Consider the following 27,666-nt stretch of genomic DNA (forward strand, 5'->3'; position numbering starts at 1 on the left):
TATGTGTCACGTCATATTTTATTTTTTCAACCATTTAAAAATGTGAAAGTCATTCTTAGCTCCTGTTATATACAAATCTTAGCTAGATTTGGTCCATGGGCCATAATTTGCAGAATCCTTGCCTAGAATATTAGATGCATAGATTTGTGGCATTGCCAAGCAACCACCCCCAACATGTGCACACACACGTATGTGTGTGTGTGCTCACACACTGCTGTTTTATTTAGCATACTCTGCTTTTGGTATGGCAGTTTGATCTAATGCCTCATCTCTTTGGATAGGATGAAACTTCAGTCAATAAGTTTTTATTAGTCATATTGTGTGGCCGCCTTAGCACATGCATGATTCTGTCACCAATTAATTTTATTTATTGTTAAGTGTTCTCACCTTGCCCATTTTTTTATAGAGCTTGATGATTGGACCCTCTCAGATGTGATGGTTTTTGAAGGGAATCAGTGCTTTTGGAGCTGTCTTTTGCTTAATGTTCCTATTAATCCTTCTTTGCCGTGGAAGGGAAGTAATTAATACTGGCCTCTCAAGCTGCTAACTAGACATTCTTTCCTAAAGGAAATCTGTATCCTGGCCTTCCCTATTCCCTTTCTGCATGATATGTTTGGCTTTATAAAGCACACAAAAATTCCTCTTGTGTTCTAACCCCTGGAGATTAGCTCTAGGATTGGTGTGTACAGAGCATGTAGATATATATGTCTGTGTGTAATTTCATCCGGCCATCACTGAAGCTCTGAGGGCTGCTTCTTTTAGTTTCACCTTTTCACTCCCTCTACCTTTCTCTCCTGGCCATTGTGTAAGGATGCAGATTTGGTGACCTGATAACTGCTCTAACTGATTGGTTTATTTTTTGCTTCGTTTCCTGCTTTTCAACATTCTCTACTGATTTGCTTATTTTGCAGCAAGTACACTCTTTTTGGAGTTTACCTTTTCAAAACAACATTGTGCTGAAAATAAAACCACTAGAGATTATTTGGGTATTGTAGGATTTTTCCCCCTCCAAATGTACAGTAAATACAGTATAAGAGGCATGACTCAGTATTTTAGATATAGAATGCAATTTAAAAAATTGTTTGCCATTTTATATATAGATATTAGAGGTGTAAAATGTGTTCTTACTTTTAGCATTTAAGGGTTTCCTTCTTGTTAAAAAAAGTAAATTTGCTACGTATCTTTTGGATAACAGTTTGGGCAATATGAACCCAAAGTCATTACAAAAAAAGAAAAAAAGGTAAATTCACATCTAGGAATTTAAAGAAACAGTTGGTGAAGTATGCACAGATGTATGTACCAGATTGCTCACCTGTCCTTTTTTTATAACAAAACATAGAAAGTGATCTAAATACCTATGGATAGGGGATTAAGTGAATTAGGGCCTATCCATGTAGTGGAATATGCTGCAATCTTTAAAAAGAATGATGCAGTCAATATTTATTCATAGAAAAAAAGGTATATAATGAGACTATGTATAAGATGGAACTTTTAGAATAGGGTTTTAGTCATCTTTGAAGTATATGGAAGAAAATGCCAGGAGCAAGAATTGTTACAGGGGAGAATCTGTTTTAATTATTAAATTATAATCTAAAACTATAATTTTGATTATTAAACATTATTATAATCTGGTTTGTTTTTAAATTTAAAAAAAAAACAGATTATAATTTAATGCTTTAATTATCAATTAAATTGTTCCTTTTTTTTCCTTAGCCAGTTACCTTCAAATTCAACTCACCTTTATTTGCACCTGCATCTTTGTGGTTTAACTATGATAATTTTAGCAAATTTTCACTTCAGTTATTTTGGCTTTGGAGTATGTTCTATCTCCTATGCCCCACATTCTGGTGGAGATACAGTTCATTGTTTATATGAAATTAGCAACATTGATCTAGCCTTGACGAATGAGAAACGTAACCACATCTGGCTGTGACATAGTGACTCTTTGTGGACTTTGGGCCTTAGAGTTTGTTATAGGAAACTTTAGGACGTGAATACACTATAAAATATAGAAATATTACGATAATTCATGAAGCATGTCTGTCAGTTATCTATTGTTAACAACCCATTCCAAAAGTTTGTGGCTTAAAACACATACCATTTTATTTGCTCATAATTAGGGCAGAGCAGTTCTCCATTGGTAGTGCCTGGCCTGAGGTCACTAATGTGGCTGCAGTCCTCTTAAGTCTTGAGTCAGAACTAGTTAGTCAAGCTGGGCTATCTCTCTGAGCTCCACATAATCTCATCTTCTAGCAGCCTAGATCAAATTTCCTCAGGTGGAGGCACTTTGTTCCAGGAGGGTGAGAACTGCAAGGTTTCTGGAGGCTTAAGCTTAAGAGTCACACAGTACCACTCTGCCATATTCTGCTAGTCAAAGCAAGTCACAAGGCCAACTCAAATTTTAGGAGTTGGACAAAGATACCCCCTCTTGATGGCAAATGCTGCCAAGTCATATTGCACAGGATAGCCTACAGGGAATTGTTGCAGCCATCAACATATGTGCCAACCTGCTTTTGTTATAGTAACTAAACTCTGTTTGTTTGCCATGATTGATAAAACTCTGTTCTGAGGAACAGTGCTAAATGGTTTCCTGTGTTACCTCTTGGGATAACAGCTCTACATGTAGGTAGTATTATCCCATTTTAAAGGTATGAAAAGTGAGCCTTAGAAAGGTTAAGTAACCTGCCCTAGAGCTTTTATCTAGTTAGGGACAGATCTTAAAAGTTAAGGAAAATTTATGTCTATACCAGTGTTTCTTAATCCCATCACTAAAGAACTTGCATGGGGGAGGGAGAGAGGAAGGGTGGGAAGTGGGAGGAAGCGTAGTTTTTAAAATCTCAAAATCCATTATCTTAAAATTTTACATGAATTTTGTATTCTACTCTATAATATATCCCTTTTCAATGTGAAATTCATGGTTTAATTACTTGCCAATCAAATTAAATTTTATCCCCCCAATTTTTAAGAAAATGCAATTCTTCTAGACACAGTATAACAGCTAATCAGCCAGAGATCTTTGGTTGTAAGCAGTAAGAACTAAATCTGACTACTTTAAACATAAAGAGATTACTGGAGGGATGTGGTGACAACAATGCCAAAGAATCAGGCTTCAGAGTGAACCAGATCTAGAGCAGCTTCAGGGATCCAGGTAGCAGGACTCAGTAGACAGTCTTCTCAGGATACAGGAGGGCCAACCTCTCCAGCAGTTTTTAATCCCACTTTCTACTGAGAGTATATCTTTCAGGCCCATACTGGGTCCCAGCAGGTGCCTTGGTTATTGCCTCACTCAGCCAGTACCCTTTAGGGGAGTTGTCATTCCCCAGAAGTGGGAATTGATGGAGGGCAGGTAAAACCAACAGATATTTACTATCTGAACATTTGTGGGCCACTATGAGTGGACTTGGTTTAGACATTGTATCACATATAAGCGACACCATAATGATCCCTGGTTCACCCGTCTCCTTCCCAACCCTACATCTAAGGGTTTTGTTTTGTTTTGTGTTTGAAACAAGCTGTCCTTCTGTCACCTAGGCTGGAGCGCAGTGGCACAATCGTGGCTTACTGCAGCGTTGACCTCCTGGCCTCAAGCAGTCCTCCCACTGCAGCTTCTCAAGAAGCCGGGGATACAGGTGTGTGCCACCAAACCTGGCTAATACATTTTTTTTTTCTTTTTTGTAGAGACTGTGTTATCTAGACTGGTCTCCCATTTCTGGGCTCAAGCCATCCTCCCACCTTGGCCTCCCAAAATGCTAGGATTATAGGCATCAGCCACCACACCTGGCCCCGAGGATTCTTAAACTCCCATCTTTAAAAGCATTCTTGTGGCTCTACACTGTCTATTTCCATTTAACCTTACTGGTACTTACCACTCTAAATGCAATACTACATGTGTTTTTTACATGATAATCTTTCCTAAAATATGCATTTTCCTCATTTTTAAAGAAAAGCATATAGACTCTAACCATTTGTTGGTAACAGAGTCACTATAAACATTTTTATCCAGTGCATAGTGATCCCCTTAGAACCCAGTGAGATAAAGTTTATGGTCTCTGCACTAAATTTTCTCAAATTTCTCTGCATTTATTTTTCGGTCTTCTTGTGTCTAAGTGCTTTCACTGTAACTTTGCTAATACTTTAAAATACGCATGTTAGACTTTATAAAAGCTTATAGGCTGAAGGGGCAACTTACATTTATTTGGCCTTTGTAAGTATGAGTTAAACCACACTTCAAATGATAAAATGCTGTGCATATACAGTGTGATTTTATACAGAGCATTTGCACGTATGTTCTCCTGTTTCATTGTATATTCCAATCCTTTGAAGTCAGGGAAGAGGAGATATTTTCTCTATTTTTCAGCTGAGGATAAGGTTTAGAAAGGGTGATTTCCCCTCCAACCTAAGACTACTGCAGAATTCAGGTGTTCTGATTGCCCATGCCTTATTGAGGGTGGTTCTAGAACAGTGGTTTACTAACTGCAGAAGCTCCTTTTCTGGATTCTGAAGTTTCCAGGCTGAACTGGAGATGGGTAAACTAATGTTTGGCCTCATTTGAGTAATGTTCCCTAATTGTAGTGACGTTGGTGTGTGTCTTAGTCTGTTCAGGCTACTCTAACAAGATACCATAAACTGGGTAGTTTGTAAACAACATACCTTTGTTTGTGACAGTTCTGAAGGCCGAGAAGTCCATGATCAGGGTGCCAGCAGATTGTGTGTCTGATGAGGGCTTGTTTCCTGTTTCATAGAAGGTGTCACATGGTGGAAGGGGCAAACAAGCTCCTGGACCTCTTTCGTAATGGCACTAATCCTATTCATGAAGGTTCTGCCCTCATGACCTAATCACCCTGCAGAAGGTCCCACATCCTATTACCATAACTTGGAGGGTTAGGATTTTATTTTATTTATTTTATTTTTATTTTTTGTAGAGATAGGGTTTTGCCATGTTGTCCAGGCCGGTCTTGAACTCCTGAGTGGCAAGTGATTCTCCCACCTCAGCCTCCTGAGTAGCTGGGACTGCAGGTGCATGCCATTACACTTAGCTAATTTTTTGTGTTTTTTGAATAGACAGGGTCTTGCTATGTTGCCCATGCTGGTCTTGAACTCCTGAGCTCAAGTAATCCTCCTGCCTCAGCCTCCCAAAGTGCTGGGATTACAGGTGTGAGCCACTGTGCCCAGCCTAGGATTTCAACATGTGAATTTGGGAGGACATAAACATTCCGACCATGACAGTGTGTAATGGTGGTGTCTAGTAGTCACCTTGGTAATTAGTAGCTGCTGCTGTTTATTCTTGCCTTGGAGGCCCAGCATCTTTTTATTTCCCCACAGATAGCCAGGTGAGGAGCTGATTTACCCCATCTCTTCTTGCCACAATTAGCTGGGTTTGAAGTACCTCTTGGAGCCCTTCGATCTGGCCTTTTTTATTTCTTTTCCCTGTAATTACCACTTTGTGATGTAGTCACTCGTCCTTTCAGCCCCTGGACTCTTCTTTTATATGGTCCTGGCTGTTTTCTGCTGACAGGTCTATCACTACAAGAGGTTTTGAGAGGAGCACTTGACACTTTTGTTTAATTAAGGTCTCCAGACAGTTTTCTGTTAATAGCAGGGTTGTATGTTAGGCTCTTTCCCCCCATTACTTTTAAAGTTTCATTGTAGTCTGGATCATAAACTTGTCTGTGGTGGTAATATGGTGGTTCTTGTTTGGCCAGACCTTTTTGTAAATACACACATCCCAAGACTTCTGTAGCTTTTGGAACCTTGTTCTGACATTTAACACTAGTTTTAAAGTTGTCTTTTTCTAATTTGTTTCAGGCACTGATTTCTACAGCTTCTAACCATGTTTTGATAAGCACTAGTCAAAAAACTATTTTTTCCTCTTGCATTTTTAGTTTGTTTGTTTTTTGTCTTATGGTTTTTGTAGATACTGTGAGCCTTTGGAATCCTTCAACTTAATTCTGAAAAGAATGCGAGTAAAGTTCTACATTGAAAAATAAGTATTTTTCATTTCCTTATACTTTTTTCACTGGCATTTTTAAGTTTTAGCATACTGAACAGAAAGGCATTTTTAGTGTTCTGGCTCATAGCTCCTCTTAGCTGCTCTAAGAGGAGATATTTAAGGCTCAATTCTCTGTGTCCTCCACTCCGTACCCTGTTTATTATTATTGTGGTAGTTATAACTATAAATCATTTGCAGATCGAAGTTAGAAAAGAGACCATTTGTCATTACATTAAGACAGTTTAAAGGAATCGCTTGTTCAAATTTACTAGCTTCCTGAAGCTAGTAAAGATGTTTATGGTTTCCAAGATTCCCTGTTAATATATTTCAACACTACAAGACAGTGAATAACACATGTTCAGCTATTATAGATTATGAGGAAAGCTAGCTCCTAGAAAAGATTTTTCAGTACTATAAATGGCACTAAACTGAAAAATCAGTTGTCATAATAAACAGCGGTCCTGATCTGAGAGTAGGCAGGTTTCTTGGTGTGTCTGTGCTTTTAGCTAATGGCCAGCAATGAGTAGCTCTCTTTTCCATAAATCTGGTATCAAGTATTAATCAGCTGTAGACTGGAAAGTTTTTATTTGCTAGCATTTGTAGTGGAGGAAACACCAGTCTGTTTTATCTGTCTCTTAGCCATATAACTGCATATGATATCATCTGCATGGCGTTCTTACAGAGAGAAATAGTTGTATTCTTTTTCATTTGTAGTCGGAGTACTTCAGAATATTAAAATAGTGAACTTTGACCTTGAAGCATCTAAATTGTCTCAGTTAAGATTGTGATGTATACCAGAAAAAATTTACACCTTAAATTCAATTTAGCATTCTTGTTTTGCACATTTTGAATGGTTTTTTTAATTTAAGAGCAAAGTCCATAGAATGATTGTACTATTGAAAAATCTTAAATCTCAAAAGCTAAGAAAGGTAATTTAGATTTTAAGTTTCAAGAATTACATAAATTTGGGTCTTAAGGAAAAACTGAAATTCCTGAATGCTTACAGAGGTTTTTGTTTAATTTTTTTTCGTGATTACAGAAATCATAAGTGTTTGTAGAAAACTCAGAAAATTCCACAGATAGAAGGAAATAAAAGTTACTCATACTTCTACCCAGAGATATCACTATTAACATTTTATGTATATCCCCCCAGCTGCTTATAGAGTTCTCCAATAAAATATACTTTGAAATGCATGCTTAGAAGTAAGGGTAGAAGAGTGGTAGAAATGGGTACATAGTGTGAACCAAATTTTGTTAATCCTACTGCTTGTCAGACTGCCCGCCAGGTGTTGCCTTCAGGCTGATGAGAGCTGCCTGGCCCTTTGGCCAGCTTTGGCTGATTTGCAGCAGAGCATCTTTTCTTAGACAACTGTCTATATCTGTCTGTGTCTTTATCTTAGCAACTGTTTCTTGTCAGCTCCAAATGCCTGCTGGTTGCAGAGAGAGACATTTGGGGTCCTTGTTGGAGTGGCTTATTGATATGAGCCATAAGTTCTTATCAACCCCGTGGAAAAATTCTTTAAATCAGCTCTTATTCAAAAGAATGCCCGAATATTCACAAATATAGTATCCTTCAGATTACTTGCACCAAGTAACAGCAAGGTATTTAGAGACTCCCAGGTGATTTCAATTAACATCTAACCTCAAATCCGGTCTCCTTGGTAAGAGAAAAATCCAGAGAAGGAGCTCAAAGCAGATTATGGTATAAGCATATGCCAGTCCTCTCCTGTGGAAAAAGAAAAGTGCTAATCTGGTCAGAACTGTTAAAGAGACAGGCAAGGCTGAGCACAGCAGAATTCTCTCATCCTGTTCATCTTTTGCATTAGTGCAGAAAAAAGATTTATCTCAGGATGAAAGAAAGAAGGAAGGATGGCAGGCAGGTGGCTAGTAATAGGAGATGGTTGGTTCTCTTCCTCTCTGCCTGGGCTAGTGGTAAGCAGGTCCTCAGGTCTGAAAAACTAGTAAAAGTGAAGTGACACACAGGGCAGCTTCCCCAGGCAGTGATACAACTTGTTGGTATTCAGTGTGAAAATACAAAGCTGACTTTGATTCCTTGCCATCAGCCAGAGGAAACCCTGGAGAAGTAGGAGGCAGTGGCATCTCTTTGTAAACATTTTATTCTTGACAAGTAACAGACTCCTACCTAGAGAATTGTAAGCGTTGGCCCCTCCATTCTGCCAGCTGTCTTTCAAGAGCACTCTCAGTATTCTCCTGCACTGACCAGTTTAAAAGGTGTCGTTTCTGCTCCCATGCAGTGCTTGGTGTGAAGGAATTAATTTGCAAGATGAATAACCATTGTGATAACTGCTCACATGCAAAGGAGAGAGATTGCTGATTTTACAGGTGTGTGGTTTGCTTTCTTAGATCTGGCAGGAAACAGAGTCCAACTCAGATGGTTTAAGAGACTTTAAATGAAAGAATTATTTTCAGAAGGACGGGCAGAGTTCAGGATGACATGGGTTTCTGTCACCTAGAAACTAATAGGAATGGCAAGCTGTTATCACTGCTAGATCTGAGGGAGCAAAGAGAAGAAATAGTGTTACTGGAGTCTAGTGAGAGCTGGTGCCATAGTGGATGGGCTGTTAAGACAGGAGCTATAGTACTAGAGGCATTCAGCCACTGCCAGAAAAGGGAGCCCAGAGCAGGGAGGGAACAAGGAGGGAATATTCTCCTCTCTGACTTTTTTCTTTGCTCTTTGATCTTTTTCCAGTGCCTTCTATTGGCCAGACTCACCTGGAAGCTGGCCAGCAGGTGAATCTATGATGCTGCCCATAGAGGTCAGCCTCTTGGGACTCAGCAGGGCCCAGTATGGTGGAAAGTTGGTCTGGGGGTGGAAAGTGGATCAGACAAAATTATACCATACCCTATAGCATATTCTTAATTTCACTTTCATCATTTTATCTCATCATCCTCATCTCCTGAAATCCCAAAATAAACCTTAAAGCATGTGAACTATTGATTATGACTCAGTTCTATCTTTTAATATAAATAGCCCAAAGAGTTACCCTACTCTTATCAGAGAAATTAAATATTCAAAGAGAGAATCTGAACAGTTCTCAGAAGAATTGGAAAATCACTGAAAGACCTTCTGTTGGGGCATTTTGTTCTTGGTTAAAATTAAACTAACATTTAAAAAATATGCATATGAACTGTACAAGTGATTTATCTTAAAATATAAAACTTGTACTTTTAATGACACATTGCTGAAATGTGTTTTTTATTATTAAGGTTAAGGTGCAAAAGGAAAGTGCAACTTAAGTCCTTATGGATTATCTCTTCAGTTTTTTTTTTTTTTTTTTTAAATAGAGTCTTGCTCTGTCACCCAGGCTAAATGAAGTACAGTGGCGCGATCTCGGCTCACTGCAACCTCTGCCTCCTGGGTTCAAGCGATTCTCCTGCCTCAGCCTCCCGAGTAGCTGGGATTACAGGCGTGTGCCACCATACCCAGCTAATGTTTGTATTTTTAGTAGAGACGGGGTTTCACTATGTTGGCCAAGCTAGTCTCGAACTCCGGACCTCAGGTGATCTTTATAAGGCAGAGTGAATTAGCAAAAAGATTCTTATTCCACCGATCTAGAAATACAAGAACAGATGTGGCCAGTCGCGGTGGCTCATGTCTGTAATCCTAGCACTTTGGGAGGCCGAGGCAGGTGGATCACGAGGTCAGGAGATCAAGACCATCCTGGATAACATGGTGAAACCCCATCTCTACTAAAAAAAATACAAAAAATTAGCCGGGTGTGGTGGCACGTGCCTGTAATCCCTGCTACTCGGGAGGCTGAGGCAAGAGAATTGCTTGAACCCGGGAAGCAAAGGTTGCGGTGAGCTGAGATCGCGCCACTGCACTCTATCCTGGGCAACAGAGCAAGACTCCGTATCAAAAAAGAAAAAAAGAACAGATTTTTAGCTTATCAAAAGAGAGTCTGTTTTAGTCCATAACTTTATTGAGTTTTGAGGTTTGAGAAATGGGAAGATGAATATTTACTCTGTAAATATGAATGGTGAAAAGAGGTCCACACTTACCTATAATAATTGGTGCTTTAATAAAAGCATCAGCTGTGGGACTAAAAAAGAGGGAAAAGTGATGTAGTCTGTCTTTATCAGAGATTCTTTTAGACAGGTCACAAATATTTATCAAAAGTCTACAGTTGCCGTGTCCTAGAAGTACAGATGAAAAAAGTGCCAGATAGCCCTGACTCAAGGAGTTGGTGTCAGAGTGAGCCTTTCATTGCTGTTTCCTTAAGGGCAGCCAGTCTTTTGGTGCCTTTCCATTGCCTAGAGGAAGGATGATATCCAAAACTTTGAACAGATCTTTCAGTGGTCCTCTGATCTGGCCCTGCCTGCATCTTCTGTCTCACCAAGTGCTCTGGCTTTTTAGTTCCTTGAACTTGCTGTTCTTCCTCAATGTCTTTTCTACTGAGATTTCATTTGTCTGGGGTGCTTGCTGCCACCCTCATCTCCCTCATACCTTTTTGCCTCCTTTAAATGCCACCTCTTCACAGAAGCCTTCCCTGACCTTCTAGACAAAATTCAGTGACTTTGTTACTTGCTTTAAAACCCTGTGTATTCAGACACGCCGCCCTTCTCATTCAAAGCACTCTTTCAATTTATTTGTGTAAAGGTTTTATGGCTTTCTTTCCTACTAGAAGTAAACACCATGAGAACAGCGTTCATTGCTGTCTGTTTCACAGCTGTCTCCTCAGTGCTGAGCATGGCGCTCAATAGATACTTGCAAAAAAGGGAAAAAGAACTGCTTTCAACCCAACCCCTACTACTCACCAGTTGTGTGACCTTTAGTGGTTTGCTTCTTGGAGTCGCAATTTGTTATCTGTAGAATGGGAATAATGATGATAATGGCTATCATTTATTGAGCAGTTAGTATGTGCCAGACTGTGCTTTACTTGCATTATCTTTTCAGTTAAACCCCATCAGAGAAGTGAAAAGATTTGCTTGAGGTCACATAGTTTGAAAATAGAAAACAGGATTTAAACTCTGGTCTGTTTAATTCAAAAAAATGGATTACTCTTAGCCATGCCTTTTTGTGATTGAGTAGTACCAATGCTGAGAATGCTGAGGTTGAGGAGGGAGTAGGTTTGGAATCTCCTAAACCATTTTAGGGAATCGGTATGGGATTAACTCTGCCTATTTGAAGAGATAAGTGACCTCTAAACTGATTTCTGAAGAAGTTAGTTGGGTCTAGAAGCAGCCAGAAGTGCAAATACTCTAAGAGAACTTTTCAGTGTGCTGGAAACTGGCCTTGTTCATTGTGGTTGGAGCATTTTTTTTTTTTTTTTTTTTTTGAGACGGAGTCTCGCTCTGTCGCCTGGGCTGGTGTGCAGTGGTGCAATCTCAGCTCACTGCGACCTCTGCCTCCTGGGTTCAAATGATTCTCCTGCCTCAGCCTCCTGAGAAGCTGGGATTATAGGTGCCCACCACTATGCCCAGCTAATTTTTTGTATTTTTAGTAGAGACAGGGTTTCACCATGTTGGTCGGGCTGGTCTTGAACTCCTGACTTCGTGATTTGCCCGCCTTGGCGTCCCAGAGTGTTGGGATTACAGGCGTGAGCCACTGCACCCAGCCGCTTGATTGGAGCATTCTACAGGGCTAAGAACTATAAGGTTGGGCCAGAGAGTAAAGTAAAGGGGCTTACCGGCTGCTGGGCCAGGCTAGGCCAGGGAGTTACTTTCTGCTAAACACTGTGGGGAGTCCTTGATGGATTTTATTTGTTGAAAATACTTTGGAAGCAGGAAGTCCCAATTTGGAGTCCATCTTGGGGGCAGAAGTATCCAAAGCCCTTCTCTCAGTTTGCATCTCTAGCAAAGAACACATTTTAACTAATAATTTCATTCTGCTGCACCCAGTGTGACAGTGTTTGAAAAGGAACCAGCATTGTGAGGTGAGGAATGGATTTTTATGTTTAGTTGCAGCAGTATAATTTTGCTGCTGCTGTTACTGTTTTCCTTTGGGGACAGATTCCCTAACCCAGATGGATGGCAACCTTACACAAGTTACTTCACCTCTCTAGCCTGTTTCTCATCTGGAAATTAGAGATAGTTAAAATATCTATCTTGTCAGCTTGTCGTGCAACATTTACACAGTGCATGGTATAAAATGAACTTTTAGGCAACATTAACGGTTATTGTTTTTAATATGACCTATCCATTCTGGCCTTTGATTCTTTTTTTTTTTTTTTTTTGGGTCGGAGTCTTCTCTGTCACCCAGGCTGGAGTGCAGTGGCACAATCTTGGCTCACTGCAACCTCCGCCTCACAGGTTCAAGCAATTCTCGTGTCTCAGTCTCGCAAGTAGTTGGGAATGTAGACATGTGCCACCATGCCCAGCTAATTTTTTTTTATTTTTAGTAGAGACCGATTTCACCATGTTGGCCGGGCTGATCTTGAATGGCTGTCTTAAGGTAATTCACCTGCCTTGGCCTCCCAAAGTGCTGGGATTACAGGTGTGAGCCACCAAACTTGACCTCTGGCCTCTTAAATGAATATGTGTTGTTTATTTATCAGACAGGTTGATTGGGACATAGGTGCTGACATTTTTAAAGATCATGATTTTAGGATCTTAGAAAGTAAAACTGGCAATTAAAAAAGGCAACGAACACCTTAGTGAGGCAGTTTTGGTGTTTCCTAGATGTGTTTAGGATGAACACATAGATGAAATGCATAATATGAACATGAGCCAGTACTTAAAGAGCTCGTGGTGTGTGCCAGGAGTGTGTTTTCCATGCATTCTTCCTGAGAAGTAGGTTTGATTATACAGTATCTATTTTACAGATAAAGGTTGAGGTCTTTTCTTTCTAAGGTGTTATTAGACAGCTATAGACATGGACACCAAAACTTGTTGAGCCTTCAGCATTGTAAAGGCTTGGCTTACCTTCCATCAACCTCAGCAGTTCTGCTGGAAGGGAAAAATGGAAACAGGGCCCTTAATTTTTTCTCATTATTGGATTAATTGGAAGCACTAGGCATGGTGTGCTGCCTGGTGGATAGTAGAGGCTCAGTAAATGTTTATTGAATATAAATCTGAATCAGACCAAGTGAAAAAAAGATAGAGAAAAGCAGTATTAGATCCTGGCCCCAGACTTTAAAAAAGTCTGAGGTCACCAGAGATTTTATTAGCATAGTCCATTTGTTAATATTGCAGGTTAATGGTTGGTTGAAGGCTGAGGTGAAGAATTGTCCAGTGTGTGTTGCATGGGATTAACTCCAGTCTGGGCAATTTAGTTATCTCTAGAAATCTGTTCACTTCCCACTAGGTACCCCTGCTGCTCAAGAAGCTCCAGGCTCTGTGTTTGTGTTCAGCTGATTCATTTATTCCCAATTAAAAAAAAAAACAAACTAGTTGTAACATTAAAATATGCAAATAAGATAGGTGTGACTATCCTAAATAATCCTATGTAACTATTCTATTTAAACATAAATAGGAAGGTATAACTGCCATAAGTCATCACGAGTGTATTTCAAAGCCAGATCTGATTGATATTTCTGTTTACCCTTAGCTCAGGTAATTAAGAGTTGACACCAAGGAAGTATCATTTAGTATTAAGGGGAGAAAATAGGATACCTTATTGCATAGAATAGCAAACAAGTAGCATTTAATTCTAGATTTCTTCTTGTTTCCCCCAACAACAGAAAAAAAAATATTTTTTTCTCCTGGGGGAGGTTGATTAGGATATTTATTTACCCTGTCAAACCTGAAAGTCAGATGGTAGCCTGATTACCAAGCTTGATTGATTACCAAGCATCCTTTTTGTGATTTATTATTTTATGCCACAAAAGGAAGATACTTGAAGAGATAATTTTGTTCATTTACTATAGAAGTAGTTCATGTAGAAATTTTAAAGTGTCAAACATTAAGACCCAGTGTCCAGATCTTGGTTTCTAATACCATTCTCCATTAAAAGGAGATTCTGTGCCTGAGACAGGGAATAAACAATATGAGCCTGTAGTATCTTCTAGCTCCAGAAAGTAAGAAAATAACATGCGCACACACACACACACACACACACACACACACACACACATACTCTCACACACACACACACTCATTCACTCTCTCTCTCTCCACACACAATGATGGGGTGTGTCAGAGGGACCAAAGAGACAACTGAAAGAGCTCCCAAAGGTCAAACCTAGAACAATTTGAGCAGCTAAAAAACATAGTATTAGATTGTAACCCAATATATAAAATAAATGTAAATAAAATATACAGTATATATATTTTTAAAGGCTCATATAAACATATAAACAAATAATATGTGATATAAAATCATAAATATCCATGAGGCCATACTGGTATAAATAAATGGTTGGATAAATAAGCAAATGGGAGAGAATAGATAAATCTTTAATATAAAAGAACTCCAAATGATTTATGCAGATAATCATCTCTCAAGGAGATGGAACATCACTGCCAATCTTTTTTTTTTTCTTTCTTATTTTTTTGGGGGGGATCAGGTTCTCCATCTGTCACCCAGGCTGGAGTGCAGTGGCACAATCTTAGCTCACTGCAACCTCTGTCTCTTGGGCTCAAGGGTGTCTTCCCACCTCAGCCTCCGAGTAGCTGGAACTACAGGTGTGTGCCACCATGCCCAGCTAATTTTTTTTTTTTTTGTATTTTTTATAGAGATGGGATTTTGCCATGTTGCCCAAGCTGGTCTTGAACTCCTGGGCTCAAGCGATTCACCTGCCTCAGCCTCCCAAAATGCTGGGATTACAGTTGTGAGCCACCACGCCCAGCCCACTGCCCATCTTTTAAGTCTGAGCTGTGCCTAGTGACTTCCTTCCAAAGAGTGCAATATGAAAAGGGAGGAAAGAGACAGCTTCCTGACATTGGCCTGGGCAGTGACTTTTTGGATATCACCCCAAAAGCACAGGTAACCAAAAAATAGAAAAATGGGGTTGCATCAAACTAAAACAGCTTCTGTATAACAAAGGAAATAGTCAACAGAGTGAAAAGACAATCAACACTATGGGAGAAAATATTTGCAAACCATATATCTGATAAGGGGTTGATATCTAAAATATATAAGGAACTCAATAACAAAACAGATAACCCAATTAAAAAAGGAGAAAGAAACTGAATTGACAAGACGTACAGATGGCCAACAGGTATATGAAAAGATGCTCAATATCACTAATCATCAGGGACATGCAAGTTAAAACCACAGTGAGATATCACCTCACTCCTGTTAGAATGGCTATTCAAAAAGACAGAAGATAACAAGTATTGGTTAGTATGTGGAGAAAAGGGAATCTTTGTACATTGGTAGTGGGGATGTAAATTATAGTACAGCCATTAAGAAAAACAGTATGGAGGTTTCTCAAAAAATTAAAAATAGAAAAGAACTATATGACCCATCAGTCCTACTTCTGCATATATATCCAAAGGAAATCAGTATGTCACAGAGGTATCTGCACTCCCATGTTCATTGCAGCATTATTCACAATAGCCAAGATATGGAGTCAATCTTGGTATCCATCAATGGATGAATGGATACAGAAAATGTGATATTTAGGCCAGGCACAGTGGCTCATGCCTGTAATCCCAGCACTTTGGGAGGCCAAGGTAGGTGAATCATTTGAGACCAGGAGTTCAACCTAGCCGGGCCAACATGGTGCAACCCCATTTCTACTAAAAATACAAAAAATTAGCAGGGCATGGTAGCATGCACCTGTAGTCCCAGCTACTTGAGAGGCTGAGCCAGGAGAATCGCTTCAACCTGGGAGGTGAAGTTTGCAGTGAGCTGGGATCACGCCACTATACTCCAGAGCGAGACTGGGTCTCAAACAAAAAAAGGAAAAGAAAATGTGATATCCAGTGTATATATGCAAATAATGTAAGACTGTTCAGCTTTAAAAAAGAAGGAAATCCTTTCATTTTTGACAACATGGGTGAACCTGGAGGATATTAAGTGAAATAAGCCAGACACAGAAAGACAAATACTGCAGGAATCTCACTTACATGTGGAATCTAAAAACATTGAACCACAGAAGCAGAGAGTAGAATAATGGTTGCCAGAGGCTGGGAGTTGGGGGAGTGGTGAGGGAAATGGGGAGATGTTGATCAAAGAGTACAAGTTTCAGTTAGGATGAATGAGTTCTAGGAATCTGTTACACAGTAATGGTGACTATAGTTAATAATACTGTATACTTGAAAATTGCTGAGAGTAGATCTTAAATGTTCTCACCCCCCAAAAGATGAGGTGACAGATATGCTCATTAGCTTGATTTAATTATTTTATAATATATACATAAAAGATCATATTTACACTGTACAATTTTGTCACTCATGCCTTAAAGCTGGAGGAAAATAAATAATCACATGTTGGTATTGGTTCATTAGCTGTGACAAAGATACTATACTTACATAAGAGGTTAACAATAGGGAAAACCAGGTGTCAGGTTTACAGGAACTCTCTGTATAATCTTTGCAACTTTTCTGTAAATTCAAAGTCATCCCAAAATTGAAAGTTTATTTTTAAAAAAGACTATGGCAAGGACAATAGTCTATAGTTCAAGTTTAATTTTCATCCCGTAGGGAGCCTGAGGTAAATAAAATAGTCCTTAGTGTTCTGGTCTTATTATGGTGTAAAGTGGGGCAGTTCTTCCTTGCTGTTGTCTTATAAAGCCATGACAGTTTGTTTGCAGAATCAGAGAATGCAGTATTTCTAAATGTCCTCCTGTGGAATTTCCTACTGGCATGACTTTTTTCCCCTTTGCTTCTGCCCAGTAGCAGTCCCTTGAGTGGCATTTGCTGTCCTAGTTAATCAGAGGGTAGGAGAAATGAAAAACTCTCATCTTCCCACTCCCATGAAGTTTCAATGGGCACTGGAAATGTAGGTCAAATTGCATCACCATAGAAAGGAGCGAACAGGAAGGTATTTATGAAGTGCTGCCAATGTCTCTTTAGATTCAGAGTCATGACGAACTGGTATTGAGCCCGTTAGGTGTGAGATACAGGGAATCAGGGGGCATGTTTGTGATGTAGTGCCAGAATGTTATATTTCAACCAGTGATAAAAGATCTCTGTCTGAAACCTAGTGGAAATGACTTACACTGGCTTTGTTTAATTTGCATCTCCCAGCTTCTGGAATTCTTTTTGTCTCTTATTTATTATTGGCACATTGCAAAAATTTGTATTAATTTAGCCAGAGAGATGTTTGAAGTGTAGAAACTATTGCCATGTATACATTTTAAGAAGTCTATTGTTTCGTAGTCACATAAGTCTAATAATATATTTTGGAAATTACGTATAAACATAAGCACAGTGACATCTTGATTAGCACATAGAAACCTCAAAATATTTTTTCATTTTTAAATTATGTTTAAAGTATCTGTTAGATGGATCTCTGTTTTATTATTTATTTTATTTTATTATTTTTTCTAGACAGGGTCTCACTCTGCCACCCAGGCTGGAGTATGGTAGCACTATCTCAGCTCACTGCAGCCTCAACCTCCCAGGCTCAAGTGATCCTCCCACCTCAGTCTCCCAAGTAGCAGGGACTACAGGCATGTGTCACCACACCCAGCTAATTTTTGTATTTTTTTGTAGAGACAGAGTTTCACCATGTTGCCCAGGCAGGTCTCAAACGATCCACCTGCCTCAGCTTCCCGAAGTGCTGGGATTACAGATGTGTATCGCTGTCCTCAGCCTCTGTCTTCTTTTTTTTTTTTTTTAATGGAAAAATCTTACAGATTTTAGGATATAAGGAAACTTTAAATACGTGTTTTTATTTTTTACATATTGTGTGCTACCTACTCCTTTGTAAGATACCCAGATATTGACTGCCAGAATATTCTGTTACTGACAGTGTTATGAACAGTAAGCATCCTGATAGCAAAACCAAGTCTAAAACCTCTATTTTCACTCCCTTCTTCTCCCATCAAGATAATCAGTAGTTGCTTTATGTACAAAATGGAAAGTCAGATGATAAGAGATTTTTACAGAGGCTTGGATATTATTTAATAATATGAATTGAATAGATTATTCTGTGGAATATGTTTATAATTCAACATGGTTTTGGCTATTTTTTAACTTTTTATTTTGAGATAATTATAAATTTATAGGAATTTGCAAAGATGGTCCAGAGAGGTCTCGGTTATTCTTCACCCAGTTTCTCCCATTTATTATGTCTTAACTATAGTGCAGTATTAAAACCAGGACATTGACATTGGCTTAAAGTACATATATGGTTCTGTGTCATCTTATCATGTGTATTTTCATGTAATCACTACCACAATCAAGATATAGAACTATTCTATCACTAAAAAGATCTTGGTCGGGCGCAGTGGCTCATGCCTATAATCCCAGCACTTTGGAAGGCTGAGGCAGGTGGATCTTGAGGTCAAGAGATCGAGACCATCCTGGCCAACATGGTGAAACCCTGTCTCTACTAAAAATACAAAAATAGCTGGGGGTGGTGTCAAGTGCCTATAATCCCAGTTACTCGGGAGGCTGAGGCAGGAGAATCGCTTGAACCTGGGAGGCAGAGGTTGCAGTGAGTCGAGATCGTGCCAGTGCACTCCAGCCTGGCGACAGAGCGAGACTCCGTATCAAAAATAAAAATTAAAAAAAACAGATCTCCCTTGTGCTACCCCTTTATAGCCACATTCATTCCTATTATCCTCACAGTCCCTAACTCCTGGCAGCTGCTAATCGGTTCTCCAACTCTAAATTTGTCATTTTGGGAATGTTACATAAATATGATCTTTTAAAATTGGCTTTTTTCACTTAGCATTTTAAAAAGAATTTTATTTTTAAAAGAATATGATAAAATTTTTAAACGAATATTTATTTTTTTAAAGTTGTTACCCAGAGTTTGATTCACTAATTTTAAGACCATATATTTCTAGCTTGGGTGTTCCATACTCTGTGTTGCTATATTTGAACAGCAGCTAAAGTCGAATATGCCGACGTAATAGCTGATTATAGCATTAACCTTATTGCCTGCTGTTAAGGATGATACCTTGATGTTAAAGGGAAAATTACCCTGGGAAAAGTCCATCCTATCAACAAAGTAGATATTACAATTGATGAAGAGCAGGAATAAGAAGTCCCAATGTTTATACCAAATAAAGTAACTGACCATATTTGTACTCCATTTCATCTTGAAATCTTCAAAGGAGAGAGACTTTTTGGAACATGATATTTAAATGAACAGCAGTTGAAATATTTACATTAATTAACTAATGCAAAGCTTATGTCACAGAATTGTGGAATGTCACCATACGAAATCAAGTGTCTGCATCATGTTAAGCTTCTTTGAATGTCTTAAGTAGGAAATGGAGTTCTATGGATAGGCAAGGGCTAGAAATAGCCTCAGAAAAATCAAATCTTCAGATGCTGGTATACTATTTTCTGACAAAATACGGAGAATATTCTAGGATCTATAGGAGGGCATGTTAGTGTTTGGCTGCAAATAATGATACCATGGCTCTAGGGAATGCCACATGGTCAAACCTATAGCACTGAGCAAATAGAAAGTGAATCCCAGGATACCATTCTGCAGCACATGGCAGTGAATAAGCACTGGCTCCTCAGCTTCTCCAGAATTCATGTTCCTGAGGTTGTGTCAGGACAGATTTTTATGAATAGGGTAATCTTGCAACTAGCAAATGATTTTTGTTTGGCCCTAGCTCCTAACATTTTAGATAGTCTTCCTCCCAGTTGGGAAAATATTCCTGGTAATTAAAATCATCCTCTACTTACCAGCTTAACATTTTTCCCTTGATCACATTTGTTTTCTTTAAGCAGCATATGATTGTACTTAAAGTAGCTATTGGGATAGAGGAGAAGGGAAACAATCATTTATTGACCATCAGCTATATGCCAGCCACTTTGCTAAGTGTTTATGTTCATTCATGCATGTAACTGCAGTATTGAAAAATTTCATTAATGATACTCATTAAGTTATGGATCTGAAATAAACAGCATCCTAAGCAACTGTTTGTAGCAAGCCAATTTTCTTGGTCAGATTTACTCAAGGGGTTTGTTGACCAAAACACAGTAGAGAAAGAGTGAGACATAGTGCATATATGCCTGTGAGAAATGGTTTAAAGAATATAATTATATCTATTAATTTGTATATTCATGAGACAGTGTGTAAAATGATACAGAATTTAGACATGTAAGACCCAGCCCCTCTCCTCTTAGCTGTTTATCCAAATGAGGGAAACAAGTTTTGAGTTAAAGGAAAATATCAACTAACTACAGGACTTAAACTGCTTAACCCATCAATGTAACATGTATAACAGGGCATTACATAATTATTTTTGAAATCTTTCAGATTGTAAATGCTTTAATATTCAGAAGAGGAAATGATTACTGATCTCTGACCCTTGATTTTGTTATCTGTATGATTTTGCTACCTCGTAGAAGTAAATAAAATAATGTATATAAAAGACTTAATATAATGCCTACTACTTAGTATACCTTCAATAAATTGTAGCGGTTGCTGTTGGTAATGAAAATTATGACGATAGTAAGAATACTTTATAAGAGTAGGCTAACTGCTATAATGACCCAAAACCCCAGTGCCTTAACACAATATAATGTTTATTTCTTGTTTAAGCTCAGAGTGTGTTGGCAAGGAGGCTCAGAGTGTGTTGATTCCCCCAGTCATTCAGGAGTGAAATTGTGTGGCTCTGCCCTCCTGTAAGTACTTGGAGCCCTTTCCATTTGACCAACAGAGGGTAGGAGAGACTGAAGCTCAAGCCAGAGAGGTTTGTATGGGCCTAGCCCAGAAGTGTGGCACCCAACATTTCTTTTTTTATTTTATTTTATTTTATTTTATTTATTTGTTTATTTTGAGACAGAGTCTTGCTCTGTCACCCAGGCTGGAGTGCAGTGGCACCATCTCGGCTCACTGCAACCTCCACCTCCCGGGTTCAAGTGATTCTTGTGCCTCAGCCTCCTGAGAAGCTGGGACTACAGGCACGCAGCACCACGCCTGGCTAATTTTTGTATTTTGAGTAGAGATGGGGTTTCACCTTGTTGGCCAGGCTGGTCTGGAACTCCTGATCTCAGTGATCTGCCCACTTCAGCCTCCCAAAGTGCTGGGATTACAGGCGTGAGCGACGAGCGACTGCACCTGGCCCCAGCACTTTTTTTTTTTTAAGAGATGGGGTCTTGCTCTTTTGCACTAGCTGAAGTACAGTGGCACAGTCATAGCTCACTGCAGCCTTGAACTCCTGGGCTCAAGTGATCCTCCTGCCTCAGCCTCCCAAGTAGCTGGGACTACAGGTGTGAGACACCACACCTGGCTAATTATTTATTTTAATTTTCATAGAGATGGAGTCTCGCTGTGTTGCCTAGGCTGATCTCGAACTCCTGGCCTCAAGGGATCCTCCCTCCTCAGCCTCCCAAGGTGCTGGGATTACAGGCGTGAGCCATCACACCTGGCTTACACAACATTTTTGTTCACATTTTGGATTCAGTCACATGTCTCTACCTTACTGCAATGAATATTGGGAAATTTAGGCAAACTATGTGCTCAGGCAGAGAATGTAAATATAGGTGACTATTGGCGATCTCTATCACAAATAGTATTTACAAAGGCTTAGTAGAAGTGGAAGCATTTTCCCTGGATCTTTTAGAGAAGAGTGAAATTTGTTGTGTGCTGCTCAGCCTGTATTTAGGAGGTAATATTTAAAGAGGTGGGTAGAATAATTAAAAACTGTACGAGCATTATTAATGAAAACTACATTTATCCCACTAGCCACTGCCCTTACTGTCAGTCATTTGGTAAGTGACCTTTGGGAAGCCATTTATCTGTTACAGACCTGCATTTCCTCACTTACAAGTATTCTTTGTAGGGCTGTGGTGAAGATTAAACAAGACAGTGCATGTACAGAGTTTAGCAGAGGGTCTGATCCAAGTTAAGCACTCAGCGAAAATTGTTCTTATTGGTAGTGTTGATAAGTATGGCCTCAGAGTAAAACGCGTGCTAGCTGTTCATTTATTTAACATCTATCCTAAGGGACCATGCTAGACTAGCAAAGAATGACTTGACTGAGGACACATATATGAATTTTAGAATTTTGTAACCCCAGGCCAGTCATAGGAGATTAACGTTCCCCTGGTAGACTATTGGGGAACAAACTCTCTCTGTTCCCCAGGCTTTCCTCCTCCCAGTCAACTTTAAAGACACCTCTACCACACACACACACACACACACACACACACACACACACCCGCCAACTCCTGTCAACAGGAGTACTGGACTTTAATTTGCCTCTTATCGCTCCTTCACACACACACACACACACACACACACCCACACACACACACACACACCCCAACTCCTGTCAACCGGAGTACTGGACTTTAATTTGCCTCTTATCCCTCCTTCTCCCTTCCTTAGCATTGATGTCTATAGGTGAGTTTGCCTGGTGAGAGTGAAGGTAAATGCCAGAGCAGCTCTTTATTCCACTGGCCTAATTGCGGGTTCTTAGCAAGGCAATAGCATCCCACTCCAGGCACATATTAACCTGAGTGGCTGGGTAGCCGTCAGGACCTGTGGTTCCATTTTATCCAATTCAATTCATCAGGCATTTATTAACACTTAACAACATTGGGCCCTAGGGATACAAGAATGAAATGTTGCAGACCCAGCCTCCAGGAAGCCCACCTAGGGCAGTAGGCATGATGACCTGATGAGGTTTCATCTGAGCTGGGTTTTGAAGTCTAGATGTGAGTTACTTGGAAAGTAAGAAAGGAGTTCAAGGAGGCATGAACAACAGGTGTGGAGAAACAGGTGGGAATTGTGGTGTATTGCAGTGGAGGGAATGGTTTTAAGCTCAACTCTAACATGCACTACCTCAGCTTTTATTGGCCTCATCTCACAAGCCTCAATTTTCTGATAAAGGAGCACAGAAAGAGTTCCTGTGTTATAGATGGGAGGTCTAAGTGAAATGATGCATGTAAAAGGCTTACTTTTTATTACTGGGCGCATGGTAAGTGTTCAGTAAATGTCAGCTACTACTACTATTATTATTGTCATGTGCTTTTATAAATTGACTTTCAAATCTACTGACTTGATCAGGGTTTTGCACAATGACAAATTGGAGAATTACTGGGAATTTTATATTTTACTTTTAGCTAATGGTGAAATGGTGCCCTGTAGTCACAAATAATGGATAGAAAAATGCCTTGCTGACCTTTCTTTGCTAAAAGAAGAGGGAACCTAGTTAACCTCAGTGAAGCCTGGGAGAGATAGGCTCAAGATGGGAGAACTGTGTGTCCTGAAATGGCAAAAGAGTGAAGGATGGCTATATTGAACATATTTGGAGAGAGCAGAGGGACTGAACATTGTGTAGGTATATACTAATAGAAGCTGTTAGAAAATGGAGGCTCCTTTAAAAATAAGACTCCACATGAGGCGTTCTACGAAGTGTTGAGAAAGCCCTAGGACTGACTGCAGTGGCTGAAATGTACTCAAGAAACCCAGGCCAGAGTTACTGGAGCCCTTCCTCACAATTGGCCTTGGCTCCCTCTCCACTTGTGTGTTTTCACATTGACTTGATCTTCAGTGGAGTAACTCTGAGCAGTGGCTGTAGCTCAGCAGGTAGAAAAACTCTCTAACCCTTGAAGAGGGGAATACAGTAGCACCATTGAAAAAAGAGGTTGTGTATAGAGTTTCATTCTTAAATTTGCTTTGCCAAGGAGAAAGCCTGTGAGAGTGAAAGCAAGGTGGAACTGGGGTCCAAAGAGAGGGAGTAAACTAGATGCCATATTAATTTGTATTTCTGGAGAATATGACTGCAGTTTATATATAACTTGGTTTAAACATTTTTGTAACCTGCTTAAGAAATTTGGGTTTGGGTGGTCGATTTTCATTTGGAAGAAAAGATTAGGAAGACAGTATAGTTTTGGGGACACAAGCATGGCTACCTACAGGAGACAGGTCTGAAAGGAAAATAAGTGATGCAGCCAGCTGAGTACTTTGGAAATTACATGCCAAATGACAAAGGGCAGCTCCCAACACAGCTTCATTCAGTTATCCCCCTCCAGGAAAGTTGGCCCCTGTGGCCAGATTTTTAGATTTTTCCCAGAGAAACCAGGAGTTTGGAATTTTATATGAATCTTCCAGCCTTTTAAATATTAACAACAAAGTCATATTGTTTTCCCCAAGATCACCATGGAAAACAAAAAAGTGGGCTATTTTAGGCCTGTGGACTTTTCCATTTGCAGTGAGTATCAAGATGGAGAGAAAAATGCACAGCCTAGGAGTTAGGTGGCTCAGCTGAATAACACTGCCAATTCTAGTGCCAGACACAGTACTTGGCATGGAGCACATTCTCAATGTGTTTTGTTTTGTTTTTGAGTTAGAGTCTCATTCTTTTGCCCCAGGCTGGAGTACAGTTGCATGATCATGGTTCACTGCAGCCTCAGCTTCCCAGGCTCAAGTGATCCTCCTGCCTAAGCCTCCTGAGGAACTGGGACTACAGGCATGCACCACCATGCCTGGCTAGTTTTTAAAAATTTTCTGTAGAGACGGCGTCTCACCCTTCCTCAAGCAGTCTTGAACTCCTGGACTTAAGCAGTCCTCCTGCTTTGGCCTCCCAAAGTGCTAGGATTACAAGCATGAGCCACTGTGCCCCAGCCTCAACATATTTTTATTGAATAAATAAACCAGCTGAGATAAATCTCTCTTGGTTTTCAGTCTTTACATATCTAGAATGGAGAGATTGGAGTCAGCCTTCAAGGTTTCAGGTTGTTTTTTTTGTTGTTGTTTTCTCTCCCTCCTCCTCCTCCCCCAACAAGCTCTGAATTTATAAGATCACAACTCTTTGTGCTTTCCTTGTAGGACTAATTTCTCTGGCTCCTTTTCTTCCCTGTTATGCCCTCTCCAAGAACCTAGGGTGGCAGTCTCACGTTAAAGCTTGGCGATTTTGCCTAGAAGTTAAGAATTTAAGTTTATACTGTTAAAAACAAGACTGACTTGGTTTAGCCTTTTTTCTTTCGTTTATTGTGATTAGTAGGTTTGTGCTTAATTTTGACACACTGGATGACATAACGAGGTGATTCAGATTATGCCTTAAATTGCAACAAAGTTCTGAATCTTAACAGAACACAGAAATGTTACTCCTAGAAAATAAGCCATTTTCCCTGTAAAAGCCAATATAACACTGCCCATGTAGCATTGTAGGCTTTTCTCTGTTTAAAAGGAATGATGGGGTGTTTCTGAACCCTTCGGCCTTCTGCAGTATATTCTTTTATAACACATTCTGGTGATAGCTCTACTTTTAAAATACGTTTTTTTACTATCTTGGACAAGATCATTTTTTGTTGCAGTTATCACAAATCAGTTCCAAAAAATAAGCTCATTAAAAGGTGGGGGCGGGGGCACTTACCCTAGATGCCAGGGGATTCTTAGAACCCTAGGGAACCTAGGGAAGGAAGTGCTTTGGGCCACTCAGGGGCTATGGCAGTAACAGGAAAGCCCAAGAACACTCCCAGGCAGAGATTCTCTCTCTCTTTCTTTCTTTCTTCCTTCCTTTCTTCCTTTCTCCTTTTCTCTCTCTCTCTCTTTCTCTCTTTTCTGTCTCTCTCTTGTTTCTCTGTCTCTCTCTCTCTCTCTGTGTCTCTCTCTCTCTTTCTTGTTTTTTCTCCTGGGGGAAACGGGAGATAAGTGGCCTCTTGGGTCAGATTCACTCTGAGCAGCACATTCATTCTTTCATTCTCTCTTTGCTGACTGTCTTTTTCCTATAGACTGAGAGAGCACTTAGAGGTAGCTTGCAGCCTCCACCAAACTAGACCCTCTTCATCTCAATTTCTCGTTCTAAGAAGAACACATTGACTGTCTCAGTTTGTGTCGTGTGTCCAGCTTTGACAAAGATGGGAGTAAGTAGTTTGTAGCCCCATAGTACAAGTATGACTTGGCATGGAGTTGAGAATTACTTAGTGCTTAGAAAAAAGGGTCAACATAGGCTAGGGAGCTCCTGTAGGATAAAGATATCTTCTATAATCTCCCTCCCCCTTAAAAAAAAAAGTAAATAAATTTATGCTTCAAGTTAGGTCTTCTTTCTTTCTCTCCCACTGCTAACTGGCCATCATTTAAATACATCTTTTTTAAAATTATATTTATTGAATGCTTATTACAAAGTAGTTGTTGCATGAATAAAAGGTATCAAGTTTAATGATTCTAAGAAAATTTTCCAAGTCTATTTAAAATGATTTCTTTTTAACTATTTCTCTTTGCAAAACAAAATTAAGTTGCCATTGAGGCAGTTTGGTGTACTGGAAAGGGAACTAAATATCACCAAAGGCCCGGATTCTAGTTACAGTTTCACACCACTTGTTGGCTAGGTAATCTTGAGCAAATTATGACCTTCCTCAATCTGTTTCTTCAGTAGTAAAATGGAGATCATAGTAACAGCTCTTTTGAACACAGGGTTATTGGAAGATCAAATGAGAGAAAACATACAAGCATGTAATAGGTTTTTTCCCATACTAAAGAAAGGCTCTTGACCCCTATTCTAAGTAGAGAAGTTTCTGTTTTTAAATGTTTATTTTTAGTAACTGCAACTATCATTTTTCTCTAAGAATTGGATTTCCTATAAAGCATTTTTACAGTATGTGACTAGTAAGTGATGAATTCTTTTAAAACCAAAACTATCCTGAAGGAGATTTCATAGTATTCTGAATCTGATGACTTCCTTGGATACTTTGGAGAAATAGCAGCAGTGTCCAGATGGAAAATTGAAAAATGGCTTGACCTAGTGAAATAAGATCAAGTGCAGAGTCTAATCTGATGCTGGTGTTGTTCTGCCTTCACCTTCTGTCTACTCTGAAGGAATCACCATCAGGGTGGTGAATGCTTATCATGAACATAACATCTTTATTGACTGTCTCTATCATGACAATTTGTAATTAGCTTTGAATGATTTTTGCACAGCTATAAAGTATTTAGGATTCAAAGAAATGCATTTTGGCTCAGGACAGACATGTTGAACAAGAAAACAGCTTTTATTGGAAGTAAGGCAGAAAAGGAGCACTAAAATGGAAATCAGAGAAATTTTTTAAAAGAAAGGAGACTGGGAAGGAATTAGAAATCTGAAGAGAAACATCTGGTTTATAAAGATTGTGAGAATGATTTTAAGCATTACTGAATAGCATTTTGAGTGAATAAAATTGACACTTTTAAAAAGGGAGAGGGAAGCAGTATGACCTGGGAATAACTTAAAACCTAATAAAGATAATTATGAGTAAATGTTCAAAACATGGCATATAATTTCAGCCACTGATTTTCAGAGATGCTTTATTTGTATCTTAGGATCTCAGGCCATAGGAATATTTGGTTACCATCTTAGAGTACATGAAAATAAATAAAAGTTGAGCAAAGCACTATTACCTCCTCCACATCTTGCTTTATAGCCAGTGAGAATTATAGGGAGAGAAGTATATGAGTAGTGAATTTTTCATGTGAGCTCAGCCTGTCTTGTGCTTTATACCTTGACAACATCTGCCCGATAGCTGTGTCATTGCCCATATTTGTCGCTTTTTCTCTTCTGCTGCATGTGAGATTTGAAGACCAGCTTATTTTCTAACTTTGGTTTGTTAATCTGTAATTTATTGACTCCTTAACTCATTGCTCCTCCACAAATTAATTAAAAAGTTACCACATTTTACCTGAAATATATGCACACAACTATGAAGATAAT

At 39.3% G+C, this 27,666-nt stretch overlaps 1 protein-coding gene across 4 annotated transcripts in view; it reads left to right on the plus strand.

The window, feature by feature from the left end:
* ATXN7 (ataxin 7) overlaps window positions 1-27,666 on the plus strand; it is a 140,319-nt gene that overhangs the window by 7,074 nt on the left and 105,579 nt on the right. The window lies entirely within an intron of this gene.

The sequence above is a fragment of the Homo sapiens genome, chromosome 3, assembly GCF_000001405.40.
Source record: "Homo sapiens chromosome 3, GRCh38.p14 Primary Assembly".
Lineage (NCBI taxonomy): Eukaryota > Metazoa > Chordata > Mammalia > Primates > Hominidae > Homo > Homo sapiens.